The following is a 20,358-nucleotide window of genomic DNA, read 5'->3' on the forward strand; positions in this document are numbered from 1 at the left end:
GAGCTCAGGAGAGAGCACAGACCTGGAAATGCACGTTGAAATTAGCCAGTTCTAATGAGCACTGAAACCATGAGAGTAGAGAACATGAGAGAAGAGAGTCATGGAGGAGAGACCTCAGGCAATGGAAAGAGGAGGATGCCGAATGTTAAGTCTTGGGGATTTTTCTTTCTTTTTTTTTTTTTTTTTTTTTGTTAGAGACGGGATCTCAAAATTTTACCCAGGCTGGAGTGAAGTGGCACGATCATAGCTCACTGCAGCCTTGGACTTCTGGGCTCAAGAGCTCCTCCACCTCCACCTCCCAAATAGCTAGGACTACATGTGCATATCATGCCAGGCTAATTTTTTAATTTCTTTTTTTTTTTTTTTTTGTAGAGACAGGGTTTCACTCTGTTGCCCAGGCTGGTCTCAAACTCCTGGCCTCAAGTGATCCTCCTGACTCAGCTTCCCAAAGTGCTGGGATTACAGGAGTGAGCCACTGTGCTCGGCTGGGTCTTTCTCTTGAAGGAGGAGGGGAAGCAGGGAGGTCACTGGAAAAGAACCAGGGCAGGATGGTGTCAGGGAGGAGAAAGACTTTCTTGAAGATGAAAGGGACAAACAATATTTACAACACCGAAGTTCAGGGGAAAAAAAGTCAACTATTTGAGTAGCAAGAGGCCATGCATTGCTTATCTTTAGAGTGTTGAAAGAGGATGTGGGAATAGGTAGAGGAAGGTGGAAAATAGTGAACGAGCTGTTTAAAACTTGTAATGGCAATCCTATTGCAAATAATAACTGATAATAGGAGTTAATATTTATTCTGTGCCTACTATGTGCCAAATACTGTTCCAAAGGCGTATGTAACTCATGTAACCACAACCTTATGCGGTAGCTACTCTTATTATCCCTATTTTACAGATGAGAAAATCGAGGCAGTGAGAGAGTAAGAAATCTGTCCAAGGTTTCACTGCTATTAAGTGGGAAAGCTGGGATTGAAGCCCAAGCAGTTTGGCTGCTGAGCTCATGCTTAAGAGTCTAGAATATCCAAAGATTTCTTTAAAAAGTAATGACTTTGCAAAAATCCACATTTATTCTTCTGATATAAAATCTCAGATACATTTTCATAGAAACTGTCAAGTGTACTTAATGATCATCTATTCTTCTTTACCAAAAAAAGTTGTTTTGAGAAGGAATTAGTTTGTTGTATATTTCCCATGTCAGCTTTGACAGGAAATATTATTATTTAAAAAATAATTTAAATTCAATTTGAAGTCTTGAAGAAAAATTTACTGCATTTTTACCGGTAACCTTACTGAGAAAACTGAAATGATACATTATGGACCTTAGTAAATGTCTCCAAAAAGAAAGAAGGCTTTCTGTCTTCATAGCAAAACATTTTAATAACTATGCACTGAAACAATGATTTTTTTTGTGTATCAAATTCCTTTATGCCTACAGGCTACTCAATTGAATGTCATTAGAATATCTCAAAGCTATTTTCACATAGTTTGAAGGCTCGCCCATCTCCTACACAGTCACATGTTGATTTGGAAAAAAAAAATATATAGCTGTGCATCATAGAGTATGGGCAGCATATTGGAATCTAAGGCTTATAGATTGCCAGCCTGCTCAGCGTCTCTAACCCTTTTCAGGTAACCAAATTTATTAATGCCAATGTGTGCTTTCAAAAGACTGAGAAGTGATTCTTAAAATGTTTTCACCAGGGATATCACAGAGAGGTTTTTAAATAAAATAGTACTGTGACGTTCAAAAACAAAGACTTCTCAAAAAGTATTTATGTTTTTAGAATTGGTAATTAGAACAGGCAGATTTGAAGGGGATAGGCTTGCTTTCCATGTAGACTTATCAATTAACAAAATCATAACTGAGAATACAGCTTCATTTTATGAAGAGATATAAGGGTATAAATGTAAAGGCAAGAAAAAATGATAAAAGTTGATCAGAGAAAAAAGGAAATCAAAATGCTGATTTAAAAGAAAAGTGCTTTGGAGTACATTCAGTAATCGTTTTTATGAAATTTTTAAATGATGATGATGTCACTGGCATGCATTGGTTCTACGTACACACTTAATGTTAGATTTCTAGTTACCTTGGAAACTCAGGATTATAATATGCTGCTACAACAATAATAACTAATCTCTTTTGAAAGCTTATCACATGGTGCTCATCATGTTGGAGACGTCCCATGTATAATTTTATTTAATTCTTACAAAAGCTGTAAGTGTTAGATAACCTGTTTTCTTTATGGAAGTGATGGAGCCATTCTTTGTTGTGTTTGGTAGTGTCTTTATTTTAATTTGTGGACAAGCTTGATAAGTACATAAAGTGCTTTTTTTCTGGTAAGATGATTGCTCTTTCAGTTTCTCTTTCATGATATACAAAATACCTTTATATAATGTATTATTTTAGTAACTTGAAATTTTTCCTTCTTCCATCCTATGTTACTGCTTTGTTACATGCCATGAGAAGAAAATTTTTAAAAATGTTTTCCTCATATTTTCTATGTTGCTTCTTAATATCTCACCTTTGAAATACTAGTCATTTCTGTCCTAGAAAGCTTTCTATTAACTAATGTGGTTAGTCAGAGAAGTGCTACTGAGGGGATTATATTATATTTGCAGCTACTGACTTACCACAAACTAAAAAATGCTTTGTCCTTTATCTACTATTCCTTTATACTTGACACGTAGCACTGTCTTATTTTCTCTGTGGTAGGCACACAACCATTCATTCATTCAACAAATATATATTGAGCATCTACTAAATGTTAAGCACTGGGGATGCACTGGTGATCCAAACAGGCATCATTAATTCTTGCCTTCATGGATGATTGCATGTGTTGGGCCCCAGCACACCTCCCAGACTGTGAAAACACATTGGCAAACTGTAGACATCAGCTGGTTTGTTTTGCCCAGGATGAAAATTACTGAGTGTCAAATAATAAAATCAAGAGAAAAGACCATCCCAGTGTAATTTGCTCCACCTACAAATCTTCACCCACTTAATTAATCTTTTACAAATATATATGTATCTTCATTCAAAACAACACTTTGGTCTAAATGGTGATTGGTTCCAGAGGATATGGAGCAAATATTTAGATCAATTAACTTGCCACTGATTGTCATGTAACTTCTGATGAGTAAGATTTTTAGCTATTGTGGACAAGAGTCACAGGGTTTGTAAAAATCTTTTGGATGATAGTAGACAAGGGTCAAGATTCTTAGAAGGTGCCTTTCTATTTTATTTTGGAGTAAAAATATTAAGGGGGGAAAAAGGAGGAAATAGTGTAAGTAAACATGGTAATATTCTGATACTCTTATCAATTAGAAATTTTTGTTCAGTCTCATACATTTACTCTACCCTAAAAAGAAAGAGAGAAATGAATATTTATTGGGTACCTACTATGTGCCAGGCCATACACTAGGGCTCTTATATGTCACTTAATTTAATTTTTACATCCATCTTATGAGGTTCAGATGCTTTTATTATGCCCCTTTTATAAAAATAGAACTAAATTTCATGGAATTTGAGTAAGTTATATAGGATTATCCATGAATAATAAGTAGATTTATGTTTTTGAACCCAATTCTGACTCTAAATTCCATTGTTTCCATTAGCAGAATTAATAAGTAGATGCTATAAAACATCATCTTGGAGCTCACATATTACCTTGGATATTTTGGAAGATGAATATTGTTTGCTAACTACTTATGGTAATCATATGTAGCCATTCAACAATAATTTCCTGTGCTCATGTTGTACTATCCATATTGAAAAGTATGTAGCTTTAGCACTCATGCTAGTGACAATATAATTGTATTCTTTGATATTCTTCATCTCATTTCTATTTTAAAGTTATATTCCAAAATAACCATGCATTGCTTTTATAGTAAGAGAATAACAGCTTTGAACAGTGGGAAACTCAGCCTATACAGCCATATTTTGAGAATGGATACTGGAAGCTTGAGAAAAGTATTCCTCCGAGTGTAGTTCTCCTGGGTAGGAACCATATTAGAAAGAAGATCCTGGCTGGCTACTGCGTTGTTATATACTCTGTATTTCTGCCCTTCTTATCACCTTCCTATAAATGTATATCTCTAAAGTAAGGCTGGCAGAAGCAGGGAGCAAATGAGGTGCAACATGAACCTGGGTTCTAGCCAGGTGGACCTGAGTTCAAATCCCATTGTCTCATGTGCTGGTTGAGCAAGTTATTTAATCTCCCTGAGTTTCATTTTTCTTACTTGTCTAGTGGACATCGTAATTCTCTTGCTGGCTTGTGAGAAATAGAAAAGATAATATATTAAATATCAAGAGCAGTATCACATAAAACTCATTAAATGGTATGTATGTGTAGGATGAAATTTGCTCTTGGTTTGAGTGGGTTAAGTGTTTGAGGTAGCCATGGTGACAGACTATGGTTGCCAACAGTGGGAGGAGTGATCTAGACCAGAGATGCTTTTCTCATCTTTCTTTATGTACCCTGGCCTCTCACACAACCCTCTGATGCTGGCTTCCTTCATAGATTCCTAAAACATCCAAAGCTCTGGCATTCAGATTCGGTTGTTATTTTTATATGTGGTATATCTTCAAAGTGACACTTTAAAGTGACAAAATTAATAAGTGTTTAAATCACTCTTATTTTGTGACAGATCCTGAAATCCTTGAAACAGAAATCCCTCCTGTCCTCTCTGAATCTTCCATACATCTAGCATAAAGCATGCAACCATTTACTTAAGAAATGTGTATTGACCTCCTACTATGTGACAGGCACTGCATTAGGTGCTGGGGATACAGCAGGAAACAAAACAAATACATTTCCCATCACAGTGGCATTTATGTTCCAACTGGGGAGCCAGACACTAAATAATTCACTGTATAGTCATATAATTTGAAAGCAGTAAATACGATGTAGAAGTACAAGTGCTAAGAGAGGGTACAACAGGAGGTTGTATCTAACCCATGGAGCCAGGGAAGCCCTCTTTAGGTAATGATTTTATAAAGTGTGTTGTGTGTCAGAAATTATGTTAACCTCATGATGTAAATTAAAATATTCACCATGGAATCTCTGAGTTTCTTAGAGCTCAGCAGGGCAAAGAGGAATTAACTAGGGAGAGAGCTGTGGGAGAGCATTCAAAGCAGAGGGAGAAGCATGCCTTACTTAATCTTACTCCATTTTAAAAAGATAACACAATAAGCCCCTCATCTTGTCCCAACCTCTAAAATTTCTAAGTATGAGAAGAAGGGAAATAACTGTTACTGAACATATGTATGTGTCAGACTTCTAAAATAACATATGTCATGCCATTTTAACCCTAATGGGGTGAGATATTATCTAAATATTGCAAATAAGTAGTCTGATTATGTCTTGGTTTGCTCAATATGGTTCTATCCCAGGGCAATAATTTATAATGCTCCCCTTTTCACTCTTGAAAGCGTTTCAGTTTGTGCGATAAATTCTATGGTCATAAATAAATGAAGCTCAGAGGGATTATTAATTTGCCTTGGGTTACACAGCTAGTAAGTGCAGAGGGTGATGTGATACCACATCGGTGCTCTCTGATCTAAAGCCCATGCTCTCAACTGTGTATTGCACACACAATTTGTTGGCTCTACTCCTGTGTTCCTCTCTATGTAATTCTTCCAATCACGGTTAGGTAGCCCAAGACTAAACTGACAAAAATTGGCTTTCTGACATCTGCCTTCACTAATTCTGCTGAGTCATGTATTTCTATAAAGTACAAATGAAAAGAAATGAAGCACTAAGATTAAATATGAAACATGTATCGTAAGTAGTAGTTCTTTTCTTGGTATGCTTATCTTTATACTTACATTTAGCCTATTCTTTATGTTGCCCAAGTATGTGGAAACTAATTTAAAATGCAGTTGCTTCTGAAACTCAATATGTGACTCTAATGACAAAACATTGGCTATCATTGTTCTTTTCTATTATATGATACCTTGTGGGCTAGGGAGGTTCGTGACTTGCCCTGGTGAGCTGAGCCTGAGTGTAAGAAGTTTAGCACTTCTTAAAATAATCAATTAAACCCTCTTATATTTAAGGCATCTTAATAACACTTTCTAACACAGTTTTTATCTTGGTCAAAACTGAGTAATACAGGTAAATTTTTTTTTCAGCCGAATATGATAAAAGCTTTTGAAAGCATTCTTCATATGTAAATATATCAAAAGCATGGAATAGGATGCTATTGCTTCCCCTTTTATTTTAAACAAAAAATCAGATTATGCCAAAATCATATTATAAGTAAATATTACATTATTTTGTTCCTTTATGGAATATACTGTTACCTCAAAAGATGCTGGCATCACTCTGTCTGCTTAAAAACAAGATTTTATGAAGTATGTCATGTGTTAGAATTTGTTTCCTTTATGATATATGTAAAAATGGTTCACTATGGAATCTCTGAACATGTTTTATTAAATAGTATTCCCAACTGTTTGCTACATACCTTATTAGTACCTCTTTGAATATATTTTCAGGTCTTTCAGTCAATCTATCATTCATTTATTCAATTCATATTCCTGTGCCACTGAATATGTTGCTTGTGCAACTGCTGTTAGCACAAGTGGATTTATACTTAGTAGACCGGAAATATATACCACCTTCCTTCCTTGCTTTCTAACTCAGAGAACGTCTCCTGATCTTCATCTAGCTCATTCTGCTCTCTTCCCAGCCAAGACCACAAATAGAATTTTATTTAGTAATTTTGTGGAAACTCCCTTTTTTTTCCCCCAAACTGTCTTCTTTTCTTACATTCATCAAATATTATGGCTAAAAGAAGGCTCTGTGGACTGTGCAGTTCAGCACTTCTGTCACACTGTGAGTGGGATGACAGTGTGCATTATGAAAGGAAAGGGTTCTGTGGCCAAATAAATACGGGAAACCACGGGCTAAACACAGCTTAAAAGGCCTTTTGACTGTGAGACACCTCCAAATATAGGATATGGAATATACCAATTCCTAAATTTATTTGACCACAAAAACCCTTGCTCACCGTTTGTCTTGCAAGGCTGATATTCTAAGAAGGGCACGTTGGATAACGCTGATCTAGAACCTCATTTTATAAACAAATTGCCCCTGAGAAAATAAGTGACTCACCCAAGACCTCACAGCTATTTGGTGGAAAATCAGGAGACCAGAACCTATTTTTGCTGCTTCTGACCTAAGCAACTGGACATTTCACAGCCCTGAGAATCCTGCTGTCTCTTCCTGCATGCATTTGTGGATATGACTTACAAGATGGAATCTGACTGCTGTTACTTGCGTCCTGCTCCTTTCTTTAGCCCGTATACGTTTGACTCTTTGTAAGGGCTGTGAACGCCAGTGATTTCCTATTCCAGTGGAACTAGGAAAGTTGACATTAGGTTGATTCCATTTTCTTCTGAACAGTCAATTCAAAGTTTACCAAAATTGTCTTTTTCATTAGAAAAAAATAAGTTTATATGATAAAGAGTTCACTTTCAGTCAAAAAGTTCATTGGACAAGTATTTATTGAATGCCTTTACATGCCACATACTACTCTAGTTGCTACAGAAATAGCAGTAACCAAAACAAAATCCTTGCCCTCATGGTGATTAAAATCCAATGAAGGAAATCAGGGAAGAAACAAGCATCAGAGGTTGGTAAGTCCTTTGAAGAAAAATAACATGGGCTAAGACGGGTAGAGAGTGCTGGCAGGGGGGCAGGTGTGGGATTGCAATTTTATATAAGGTGGTAAGGGATCTTTCACTGTTAATGTGATATTTGGGCAGAGACATGAGGAAATGAAGGCATGGTAACCATCTTGGGAAGAACATTGTGGAGAGTAGGATTAGCATGTTCTAGAAATACATGAAGGTCATTGTGTCTGGAGTTGAAGGAGAAAAGGGGAGAGTGGTAGGTGTAAGATCATTGGGCTATAGGTTGTTATGAGAACTGATACTCTTGGTAACACAGGAATCTAGTGGAGAGTTTTGCCTAGAGAAGTAACATGGCCTGACTTCTGTTTTAAAAGGTTTACTCTTGCTGCTATATGGAAGATATGCAGATTGGGTTCCCAGGAAGCAGGCTCTGAGATGGAGATTAGCATGCAAAGTTTATTAGGGAGTGCTCCCAGGAGCAATACCTGTAGATGGGAAGGAGGCAGAGGGAGAGACTGGGCTACAGAGTGGTCTCAAAGCCTAGCTGACCTCATGAGGAGCTCTGGAATGGATTCCTCTCTAGAGTTGTTTCAAGCTGGAGTGAGGGGGCCAGGATTTTATATGGATGCATCAACTAGCCATCCGATGTCCCTAAGAAGGCAGAGTGACTTTGGGCAAGAAGTTTTTTTTTTCTTGAAGAAGACTGACAGCTGACCACAGTTACAGCACTCCCAGCAGCTGGGGAATACGTCCTTCAGCCTGACAGGGATACGGATGGTTCATCAGACCATCCATATGGTGCTCATCAGAGCATCCACTCAGGAGTCAAAGTGGAAGCAGAAAGACCAATTAGGAGGCAATGATTCGGAAAGAAGACGATGGCAGGTTCCGCTACTGGGATGTTAGAAGTAGAAGTAGTGAGATAGATTCATTTTTTGGATTTATTTTGAAGGGACAGCCAATAGGATTTACTAATACATTGATGAGCGATTCTGAAAAACCAAGAAGAATAATATGAACTCATTATTTTTAGCCTAAGCAACTAGAAATAGGTAGAAACTGTCTGAAGAAGTGAGGAAAATTTTGGGAGGTGGGGAACAACTTCAAAAGAAATGCAATTAATTCAGATTCAGATGTGCTGATGTTCAGATATCTATGAGATGTTCCAATAATGATGTTAATTGTGTGAGTGAAGTCATCCAGAGAAGCCATCCAGTCTGGGGAAATAAATTGGAATTCATTGGCTTATAAATGTTATTTACAGCTAAGTAACTGGATGTGATCACCAAGGAATGACTCCTGGGCTACTTCAAAGCTGAGGGGTCAGATGGCACAAAGCAGACAGAGGAGTGTCCAGGGGATAGGAAGAGGACTGAAAGGAAATGGATTGCCTGAAACCAAGCTAAGAAAGTAATTCAACAAGGAGAGAGTGAACCACATACACTTATTCCTAATGGATAAATGTTTCTTATCATTGTCTCTGTGCCTCTTTCAAATTCTACCCTGTATAGGGCTTATTCATTTTTTCTGAATATCTTGTTAGGTCAAACAGTACTTTGAAGCTTTTGGTTTACTTTAATTAAGGACTACTGATATCTTTTTAAACTAGGAGGACATACTCCAAGGAGAAGAGTAAGCAGTATAACTATATACCTATAGCAGTATATTACTTATAAGTTATAGCGGTATACTACTATAAGCAGTAATAACAGAAGTAGAAGTCTGTGTCCAATACAGATGAGGCCAAATTTAGACTGTAATGGAATTTCACATATTGTTGATGAGATGTCAGGATTCACTTTAAATATTGCACACTCAATTCTGAGCCTGTGAATCGGGTTAGTCCTGATTAGGATCTCTGGAATCACCCATTACCTGAGAGACACGGATACGAACACCTAATGATTCCCATTTTTAGAGGAAAAAGGGCTGAGCAGAAGTGTCCCAGTGTTTGCCAGAAATAGGACCTAGGAGTGCAGGAGCTAAGAGTGAAATCTCCCCGAAAACAACCTGACATGCATTGCCCATGCAGTCTGTGTTCAGCACGTGACTTGTCATCCTCCTCTGACTTCATTCACTGCTCCCGTCACGAGTGAAGGTGTCTCTTTAATGAGACTATAAGCCATGCTGAGAACAGGTTCCAAGCCTTTATTATTTTATGTCTTCAGAGCTTAGAATCGTGACTGGCACTCAATAGATGTTTATTAAGATAAATAAATGGGACTTCTGGTACCTTCTGTTATCAAGCCTGAGGCATAAAAACAGACAAATGGATGTCTGAATAGCCTTGGCAGCTGGATCTGTTTAATCACTTACATGTTTCTTGGCAAACTTGTGGACTAATCTATTTCTTTTTTCTCAAATTTGTTTCCCATGTCAGGAAGAGGATTATTTGTTCTGTATTATTTTTTTAAAAGCAATATCTTAAGAGTCTTTCAGCTGAAAGGTATTGCAGTAATATCCGTTTAGTAATAAGGGTGACGGATGCCTGCTTCAGCTATCATCAATAATGCCAGATTTTAAAGAGAATTTTGGATTGTATTCATCTATTGCAAGCTTTGACAAACTTTGTTTTCCTGTGAAAACAAAAAAAAGATTATTCAACAGAGCAGTTTGTGTTTGTTAGTGGGAGAGAGATCATTAAAAGTTTGTGATTATAAAATGCTTAAGGGTCTTGGGCAGACCATAGATGACTTTTTGTCTATAGAAAAGTTGTTGTAATTAGAGGATAGATTCTCTTCTCCTCTCCACTCAGGTAATTTATATGCTCTTTTGTCATCCAAGACTAGGACCCATTTTTTGACCAGGTGCCATCACTTTCTATTTAAATACAGAATGGTTTCTATAGAAATTATCCAAAATACATGTGCTCTTTGAAGCTATATGTAGTTACTATCCAGATGGCTGAAGCATGCTGTTATAATGCATGACCATTTATGTGTTTTTAAGTGAAAATTATGACTTCTAGTATTATAAGAAATAGTCTATAACAGCAATTATTAGTTAATAAAACAAGGGAAAGAAAATGGTTAGAGGAAAGTTACCAATAAGACACAGAGAAAAATGTCAAAATAATAAATTGGTTTTCATGTTGTAAAATGACTCAAGAAAGAATCTGAGCAGGGAAGAGTAGGGGCTGAAGTATTTTCTCTTCTAAATTTGATTATGCCAACTTGCATAAATATTGCTTTCTGTTTGTGGGAGAGAATGAGAGAAAGAAAAGATCAGAGAGGAAAGGACAGAATGAGACATAGAAGAAGAGTTTCATAGCGTTTGAATCCACCTGGAATAAACTGATTGACCACTGACAAAAATCTGGACTGTCACTTCTTCTTGGAGAACCACACTAGAACTTTGCGATAAGAGTGATCTCTAAGATGTATTGATACTACCCTTTGGTGTTTTGATTTATATATATAATTTTATGTCTTCATATATATATATGTCTTTATATATATAAATCAAAACACCAAAGGGTAGTATCAATAAATACATATATATTTACATACATATATATTCATATATATATGAATATTTCCATTTCTGTTCTTCACTGAATAAAGCTAAAACATCTTAATTCAAGATCTTTGATGACCTACATTTAACCTACTTTTTTTTGTCTTACTTGCCTTTATTCTCATTTATGTTATTTATAAAACTAGAAAACAACAATACCCACAGGAGTAACGTGTATTAAGAATCTGCCTGGCACAGAGCTAAGAATCTGTGGAAATCTTACATGCTGAATTTAATTGTAATCCTCACAAGAACTCTGTGAAATGAGAGCTATTCTCATCCACATTTCACAGGTGAGAGGACTGAGCCTTTAAAAAGTTCAGTAACTTGTCTGAGGGCCCACAGCCAGTGGATGATGTGGCTCCAGGGTCCTGTGCTTTATGACTTACTGCTCTTGCTGTCCCGATAGGTGCCTTCAATCCAGCCCTCTCTCTTTGCTTGAAATACTTGCTATTCCATCCCACCTTCATAGTTTCCCTTTCCCCGTTCTTCTAAGTGCAGCCCAAATGCCACCATCTTGAATTACTGCCCTCCAGGTGGCTGTAACATCGTTCTCTGAAATTCCTCTGTCTTTGCTACTCAAAGTGTAACACACCAGCAGCAGATCTGGGGTGTGGCTCCCAGGGCATCTACTAGGAGCTTCTTGGAAATGCAGAATCTGAGGCCACATCTCAGATCTCCACACTTAGAAAGTGCATTTTAACAAGCTCCCCAGGGGATTTATGTGTGCAGTAGTTTAAGAAGAACTGCAGTATAGGGCTTTCTTTTCTTTCTTTCTTTTTCTTTCTTTCTTTCTTCCTTCCTTCCTTCCTTCCTTCCTTCCTTCCTTCCTTCCTTCCTTCCTTTCGTTTTTTCTTTTTCTTTTTTTTTTTGACGGAGTCTCGCTGTGTCGCCCAGGCTGTAGTGCAGTGGCGCGATATTGGCTCACTGCAAGCTCCGCCTCCCGGATTCATGCCATTCTCCTGCCTCAGCCTCCCGATTAGCTGGGACTACAGCTGCCCGCCACAACGCCCGGCTAATTTTTTGTATTTTTTAGTAGAGACAGGGTTTCACCATATAAGCCAGAATGGTCTCGATCTCCTGACCTTGTGGTCCGCCCGCCTCGGCCTCCCAAAGTGCTGGGATTACAGGCATGAGCCACGGCGCCTGGCCAGTATAGGGCTTTTTCTTGTTTTCTTTTTTCACTTTGTATCTTTGTTATTTGTTTACCTGTTTTATATTCTCAAACCATTAGCTTTTTGAGGGCAAGAGGCACTTATATTCTCTTTTGAGTATCCATAAATATGTGTAAAATAGAAGAAGGCTCATAGTTTTTTTTATAACACGGCACTTATATTCAGAAATTTAGATCATATTCTAGGTCTGTGTTGTTTGGAATAGTTCCTCCCACTGTGCTAATAGAATCACTTATAGCAATTATTTTACTCATTATGTTTCCATAATCTCAGGCTTTTGATAACATCGAAAATGTGAAGAGGCATAATCTAGGTTTCTAAAATAGTAATTCCTTCCCATAGCCTTTGATCTATATCTAGTCCTTTGGATACAACACTTTTCACTGCCAAAGCACAAATGTAGATATTACAGATTTGGAGAAAAATCAATACTTAGAAAATAGAAGTACTGAAAGCTGAAGACTCCAATCAATTTCACATATGAAGTTTTAAGGTTTGTCTGCAGTCAGGATTCTCACTGTCTTCCAGGAACCTTGGAATGAAATTCTGTTTTGACAAGGATTTGATTCCAAGCTTTATTTTAGAGGTGATTTTGTTAATAACATAACTTCAGTCACTACAGATGCTCCTGTATTGTTGCTTACAATTTATATACTAAGGATAAAGTTACTGATATTTTGAAATAACTGTGTGTTTTCTAGTTCTTTATTTGGACACAGTGTTTGCATGTATTTATACCTCTAAATGTTCTCTATGAGCATGACCAACTGATTATTGAGATTGGCAGGTGCTAGCGCCCTTCAATCAGCTTCTCATTGCTGCACAATCTGGCTTTTCTCTTCTTTTCACAGAATATATAATTGGAATACATGCATGAAAAGAAAAGAGGGAAAACACATATCAGTGGCTTTTTTTCTTTTTCTTTTTCTTTTTTTCACTTCTACTGATTCCATTTCAGCAGTTAGTATGACCTCTCATAATGTTCCAAATCTAAAAATTGTCAAAACAGAAATCTACTCTTCGGAGCTGACACAATTCCTCAATTTTGGAATGACTCTGCTTTACCTCTTTTTAGAATTTCTTCTTTCTGCGTGAGTGTGTGTGTGTTGTTTTAGTATGAGGCTCCCTTCCCACCTCAGTCATTGGTTTGCTCGCTCCCTTATGTGATGAATCAATGCTTTCAGAACAGGGGCTTCTGAGTGACTGCGGGAACAATTACTTCCAAATGACCTCGTGCATCTTATCAGGGAGCATTCAGACCACACCCCAGGTAAAAGGAAGTCTTTGCTTAATGCTTTCAGTAACTTTTAAAAGCAGTGTACGGTGCTGGTGGTATTTGCTGCAAGGATGTGAGGGAGAGCTGCCCAGTGAAGATAAATTTGTATGTATATTGAAATGAAATGCTATCTTCACTTAGAGAAAAGGGTGAGCTGATAAAGACAAAACTGCTCATTGGGCAAAGAAAATGCTCAGGATTGCCCTTGGCACAGTGATAATGTAAGATACCCTGTAATGCCTTAACAGGAGGCTAGAGGCCATCTGCGAGTGTGGGTGTCAACATCTGAAGGAAGAGAACTTTTAGGGAAATATAAGAAAGGAAGGCATTACAGCCCAAAACTGAGCAAAGGAGCTGTTAGCCTGCGTGGCATGCGGGAAAACAGTTTCTCAAATTATTAGGCTATCCGGTGAGAAGATGACGTTCTTAGAGATTTTGAGCATTTCAAAGTGTATTTAGAAAAAGATTTTAATCCTTTTATCTCATATTTCTATGACTAAATTAGTTTCCCAAGGATAGAAACTAAGATATTTAAATAACATTGACAACTGAAAGTGTTAATTGGCAATTAACAAGTGCAATGCTGTTAACATGCATCTGTTGCTGCTTTGTGTGGAAAATGGTTTTTCATCACCATAGCAATTCATTCTTAGGCTACATTGGAACTTAGCCACAGTATGCAGTAAACAGCAAATATTTTTTTGTTCTCTCCTAAACAAGGGATTAAATAGTCTACTGGCTAATATGTGGCTCTTTATCTGAATGTTGCATTGCATAGTTGGTGTAATTTCAAATTCTTTTCCAACTGAAATTCCTTGTGAATGAGTATTAGATCCTTGGTAAGTTAAGGATGCTAGGTAAAGGTGGTGAAAAGAGCTAATATTGTACTGTTAGCTTAAAAGCGAATACCAAATGATTGCCCTTTTTGTGATTATTCTTCTGAAGATATGTATGTGGACAGGAATTTATGTCTGATCTTGTTATTCTCCAACAGTAACTCAGGAAGATGAATAAGTCTTTAGTTTTATTAGATTTCCTGTTTCTGTGTTTTCTGGAATCACATCATGTACTGGTTCAACTAAAATAAAAAAAAATTGTTTCCTTACACTGGTGAGAAAATTTTATGTAGGATATGGATGTTTCTTTAGGAAAATATAACAATAAATTAGAAAGAAATAGGTTTTCTTCTTTTCAGTTGCCTTTATTGTCAGGATGTGGTTATGTTTAGAAATTTTTTAGGCAGTACCGTTGTAAAAGCATACCTTATTCATTGAAGCATCAGTTTTCATTCATACTTTGTTTCTACTTTATTCACTGAAAGTTATAGCTGTCAACTTTTAAAAAGTTCATAGCATGTGACATACCAGTTGTGGAGCTGTATTTGTATCTTAGATACTTAAGTAGCATTGAATTATACAAATTGTGCAAGGTGTTTGAAGAAATAAATTTTCATCATTATATATGCTTTAGAAGGTAAAGCTACTTACTGCTTATAATGGTTATATGTATTTTGTAACCATGGGGTGCTTATAATGAAGACTTTCATATATTATTTTTTAAATTTTATTTGGATGGAACATAAGATAGACCTATAGTCATGACATGGAAAGATAAGGGAAGGCCTAGTTACAGAACCTGGGGACAAAGTTGCAATTTCACCTCTTTACTCCTAAAGGATTATCTTTATTTCTTACTCAAATGAAATTATGGGATGGATTATTTGAACTACTTCAGTAATTTCCTTGCCAAAACCACTCTCCTTTCTATCATGATATTGATGAGATTAGTTATGTGATGAAACAGCCCTAGAAGATAATACATCTAGAAGGCCTGTTGTATTACGTATTGTTGATAGATAAGTGGGCTCCTTAAATCTCACAAGGGATCCTTCCTACAATATAAAGCACTGATTTATTACTTTTTGATGATAAGGTATTTTGACATGGATACAATGAGGAAATAATGACACATATCTTTAAAGGCGAAAAGAATATTGAAAATTAAAAGTTTTTAAAACCCTGTCAATATTCTTGTCTCACAGTTCCTTGATCTTCACAAGCTCAGTGCCCTTCCTTTCATATACTCAGTCTTAATGCCAAAGCCTGGAATTTAGAATCATCTGGAATTATCATACTTCTAATTATTAAATTAATAAACTCTCATATCATATTATGACCCCATCCATTCTCTCAAACAGTCATCATAGTATCAACTCTGTTTCCTGAGCACAGAGACCTCTAGTTCCTTCAACTTGAGGGTTCTTCCTCCTTACCTATACAAACTGAACTCCATGGTCAATCATTTGCTCTACTCTCACCAGTACCCTTAATTTCCTTATACTTGCCACATCCTGCCAAAACCAGCAAAGCATTCCTTGAGAGACTATCGAACAGCCAAGCAAATTGCCTCACTGTTCCTGGATTTATATTTGGACTGGTTCCTCAGTGTAGACTGTGAGAAATTTTGTTTCTGGTCAGCCCTCTTTCTGACTACTGTCAGTGATGTTTCAGCCTTTTAAAATCTTCCTTAAAACGCCCAGGCCACCTTGGCTAGTTCTTCCTCAGCTGGTGGATCACTCAATGTTAGAGTCTGTAGGGTTTGGCCTTAAGCCTCTTATTTTTCTATTTGTGTTTACATCTTTATTGATCTCATCTAGTCTCCTGGTTTTAAATATCATCTATGGGTTAACAACCCTAGTAATTTTATCCCCAGCACAGAATTTCCTGTAAACTTGACTCATACTCACATTTCCACTTGGTTGTATATTGGGCACACAAAATTTGATCGTTATTCTCAAACCAGCTTCAACTATTGTCTTCCCCATTTCAGTGAATAATATCTCATTTCTTGCAGTTATTCAGTTCAAAATTTGTCTACCCATCTTGATTTTTGTGTATCTCTCATATTCCACTTCCAATTTTTCAACAAATTTTAAGTTTTGTCTTTAAAATGTAGCCAGAATCTTAACAGTTCTTACCACTATTACTGCAGCAAACTACATTCAACTCACCAGTTTTTCTCCTATGGGTTATTGCAATAGACTTATAGCAAGTCTTCATAGCATTTATGAAAATAGTACTACATATGTTGTTTATTTATTTGTCTACTGTCTGTTTCCCTCCACTAGAATATAAACTCCATGAGGGTAGGGATTTTTGTTCACTGTTATGGCACCAACCCCTAGAATAGTGCCTAGCATTTAGTAGGCATTTAATAATACCTCATTGAATAAATGAAAGTAAGTAGAAGGCAAAGTATTACAGTGAGGGTTGGTTTTACTAGGAGCATAGTAGTAGGACTGAAGGCCATAAAAAAGGGCAGAGATGCAGATGTGTGAATAAATGTGGTGTTGGGGGCCTTGAAAATTCTTTTCTGATTGCTTCCGTTACCTTAACGAAATAGGAAACAAAGTCATCAGCTCCAAGTGAGAATGTGGGAGAGATGTTAGAGGTTTGAAGAAAGGGGAAAAAGTGTGAAAGAGTTTTCTAGGCCAGTGGAAGAGTGAATGGGCTATGGAAGTATAGTACGATTGTTGGGCAGCATTGAAAAGCCTTCTTGAGGCTCAGAGTGGTAAATATGAAGTGAGATCAGTAGGTGTGGTTGTGTGGTTTCCCCCAGGCATGTTTACCTTCCTGGTTCAGAAATAGAGTAGGTAGGGGATTAGACTTAGTGAGGGCTGTAATGTACTCAAACAGGATGATGATATAAAGGAGGACAAGGGATTTGAGGGGTATCCAAAAGAGTAACTGTGGTCAACTTGGTTTTTGAAGCTGGTTAAGAAGACAAATGTAGGAAAATAATTGTGGAAGAATCAGTAGATTTAAATCATGGTGAAGTTAAAAAATGTTAGAGTTGGACTACTAGGGGGATAGTATGGAGCGATAAAAAGTGATGGTCAGAGAATGAAGAAACAAATTACGGAAGGTTTGCAGCTATTGGGCAAGGCTAGGGATGTGAGGGGCAAGGAAGAATAGAGGTCAAGGAAATACAATATTATAAAAAATACCCATTGAGATATAATACTGGGTATTATACAAAGCATTGGGTTAAGAAGCGTGGCATTGAACCAGAAACTGAATCTTTAAGGAAAGAAGCATTTAATACGGGTGTGGAAAGATGACTGCAGCTAAGAGAGATTGTGAAGGGTATAGACTGATGACATGAGATTCAAAGCTGGAAGTTTTTAGACAAGAGAGAAGAATAGTCTGGAAGCAGTAAAGATAAGCAAGGAGGACACCTATTTTACTTCCAGGCCCATTGGTGCAGGAGTGTGAGAGAAAACATTTATCATTGAAATAGAGTCCTTCAGAGAGAACCATGTTTTAGTTATAACTAGAAAGTGAAGGGAGTATTTTGAAAATAAGATACAGATATGTAAGATTTTTTTAATTGCTCACTGAATTCCAGAAGGTATACAGTGAAAAGGTTTTGAGAGTTGGAGCAGGGTGCAAGATGGGAACAGAACTAGGAATGTGCATAGCATACAGGAATGGAGGGATGATACAGAGCCTAGGGTTTCTCATGGGCACTGACATGAACTGGGTTAAAAGGCGTGCTCATAAGGTCATAAGGTCTGAGCAGTTCAAGGCATAAAAGGGTGGCAGGGATTGAAGGGAGAGGGAGTGAGAGACTTGCCAGGGCATGTCATATTTCTTCTGACAGGGGAATGGAGGTGGCAGGGCAGTGTTACTCTGACAAGAAGGGACTGATTTTATCATGAAAATTAATTATATCAAGAGTGATTGCTCAATAAAACAAAGAATTGGTTTTTGGAAAGATAAATTTGACAAATCTTTAGACAAATAAATAGAATCAGAGAATAAAACGGAGACATTATAATTTATACCACAGAAATACAAAGTATCATAGAACACTACTGTAAACAATTATATACCAAAAAATTGGATAAGCTTCCAGAAATTGATAAACTCTTGGACACATACAACCTATTGAGAATGAATTATGAAGAACAGAAAATCTGAACAGAACAGTCATGAATAAGAAAGTTGAATCAGCAATAAAATATCTCCATTGAAGAAAGGCCCAGACCTGATGGCTTCACTGCTGAATCCTACCAAACATTTAAAGAAGAACTAAGAACATTTCTCCTCTAACTATTTCAAAAATATTAAGGAGGAAGGAATACTTCCAACCTCATTCTATGAGACTTGCATTACCCTGATGCCAAAACCAGACAACAACACAACAAGAAAAGAAAGCTACAGGCCAATATTCGTGATGAACATATATGCAAAAATTTCAACAAAGTGCTAGTAAACTGAATTCAAGAGCACATTAAAAAGATTATTTACCAAGATCAAGTGGGATTTATCTCAGGGAGGCAAGGATGGTTCAACAAAATATGCAAATCCATAAATCTGATACATCACATTAACTGAATTAAAGACATAAAATGTATGATTACTTCAATAGACGCAGAAAAGCATTTGACAAAATTTAACATTCCTTCATGATAAAAGCTCTCAACAAATTAGGTATAGACAGAATGTACCTCAACATGATAAAGGCCCTATATGGCAAATCCATAGCTAACATATTGAATGGGGAAAAGCTGAAAGGTTTTACTCTAAGATTTGGAAAAAAGACAAGGATGCCACTCTATTTCTGTCTTTTTTTTTTTTTTTTTTTTTTGAGATGGAGTCCAGCTGTGTTGCCCAGGCTGGAGCACAGTGGCCGGTCTAGGCTCACTGCAACCTCTGCCTCCCAGGTTCATGCTGTTCTCCTGCCTCAGCCTCCCAAGTAGCTGGGACTACAGGCACCCGCCACGACGCCTGGCTAATTTTTTGTATTTTTAGTAGAGAAGGGGTTTCACTGTGTTAGCCAGGATGGTCTCGATCTCCTGACCTTGTGAGCCACCCACCTCAGCCTCCCAAAGTGCTGGGATTACAGGCGTGAGCCACCGTGCCCGGCCCACTCTCACTATTTCTATTCCTCACAGGACTGGAAGTCCTAGCCACAGCAATTAGGCAAAAGAAAGAGATAAAAGGCATCCAATTTGGAAAGGAAGCAGTTAAATTGACCTTGTTTGCAGATGACAGGATCTTATATATAAAAAATTTTAGGGCCGGGTGTGGTGGCTAACACCTGTAATCCCAGCACTTTGGGAGGCCGAGATGGGCGGATCACGAGATCAGGAGATCGACACCATCCTGGCTAACATGGTGAAACCCCGTCTCTACTAAAAATACAAAAAGTTAGCTGGGCGTGTTGGCGGGCGCCTGTAGTCCCAGCTACTCGGAAGGCTGAAGCAGGAGAATGGCATGAACCCGGGAGTGGAGCTTGCAGTGAGCCGAGATCGTGCCACTGCACTCTAACCTGGGTGACAGAATGAGACTCTGTCTCAAAACAACAACAACAACAACAACAGCAACAACAACAACAACAACAACAACAAAAATCATTGATGAAAGAAAATGAGAAAGGCACAAATAAATGGAAAGATATACTGTGTTCATGAATTGGAAGAATAAGTGTTGTTAAAATGCCTCTAACACCCCAAGTGATCTACAGATTCAACGCAACTCCTATCAAAATACCAATGACATTCTTCACAGAATTAAAACATAATAAAATTCTTATGGAACTACACAAGAGCCTGAATAACCAAAGCAATTTGAGCAACAAGAACAAAGCTGGAGGGATCACACTGCCTGAATTCACAGTATACTACTACAAAGCTATAGTAACCAAAATAGCATGATGCTGGCGTAAAAACCAACACATGGACCAATGGAA

At 37.4% G+C, this 20,358-nt stretch overlaps 1 protein-coding gene across 18 annotated transcripts in view; it reads left to right on the forward strand.

Moving 5' to 3' along the window:
- Positions 1 to 20,358, forward strand: part of MLIP (muscular LMNA interacting protein) — a 247,311-nt gene that overhangs the window by 79,010 nt on the left and 147,943 nt on the right. For 6 of the 18 annotated variants that reach the window (NM_001281747.2, XM_017011466.3, XM_017011468.2 and 3 more), the window contains exon 1: positions 13,464 to 13,596. The exons of the other annotated variants lie outside the window; for them this stretch is intronic. In NM_001281747.2, coding sequence (NP_001268676.1) covers positions 13,501 to 13,596 — 96 coding nt within the window. In that variant the 5' untranslated portion in view covers positions 13,464 to 13,500. Of the gene's footprint in view, positions 1 to 13,463; positions 13,597 to 20,358 lie in introns of those variants that run through there. 18 annotated transcript variants of the gene reach the window in all.

This window comes from Homo sapiens, chromosome 6 (genome assembly GCF_000001405.40).
Source record: "Homo sapiens chromosome 6, GRCh38.p14 Primary Assembly".
NCBI classification, from domain to species: domain Eukaryota; kingdom Metazoa; phylum Chordata; class Mammalia; order Primates; family Hominidae; genus Homo; species Homo sapiens.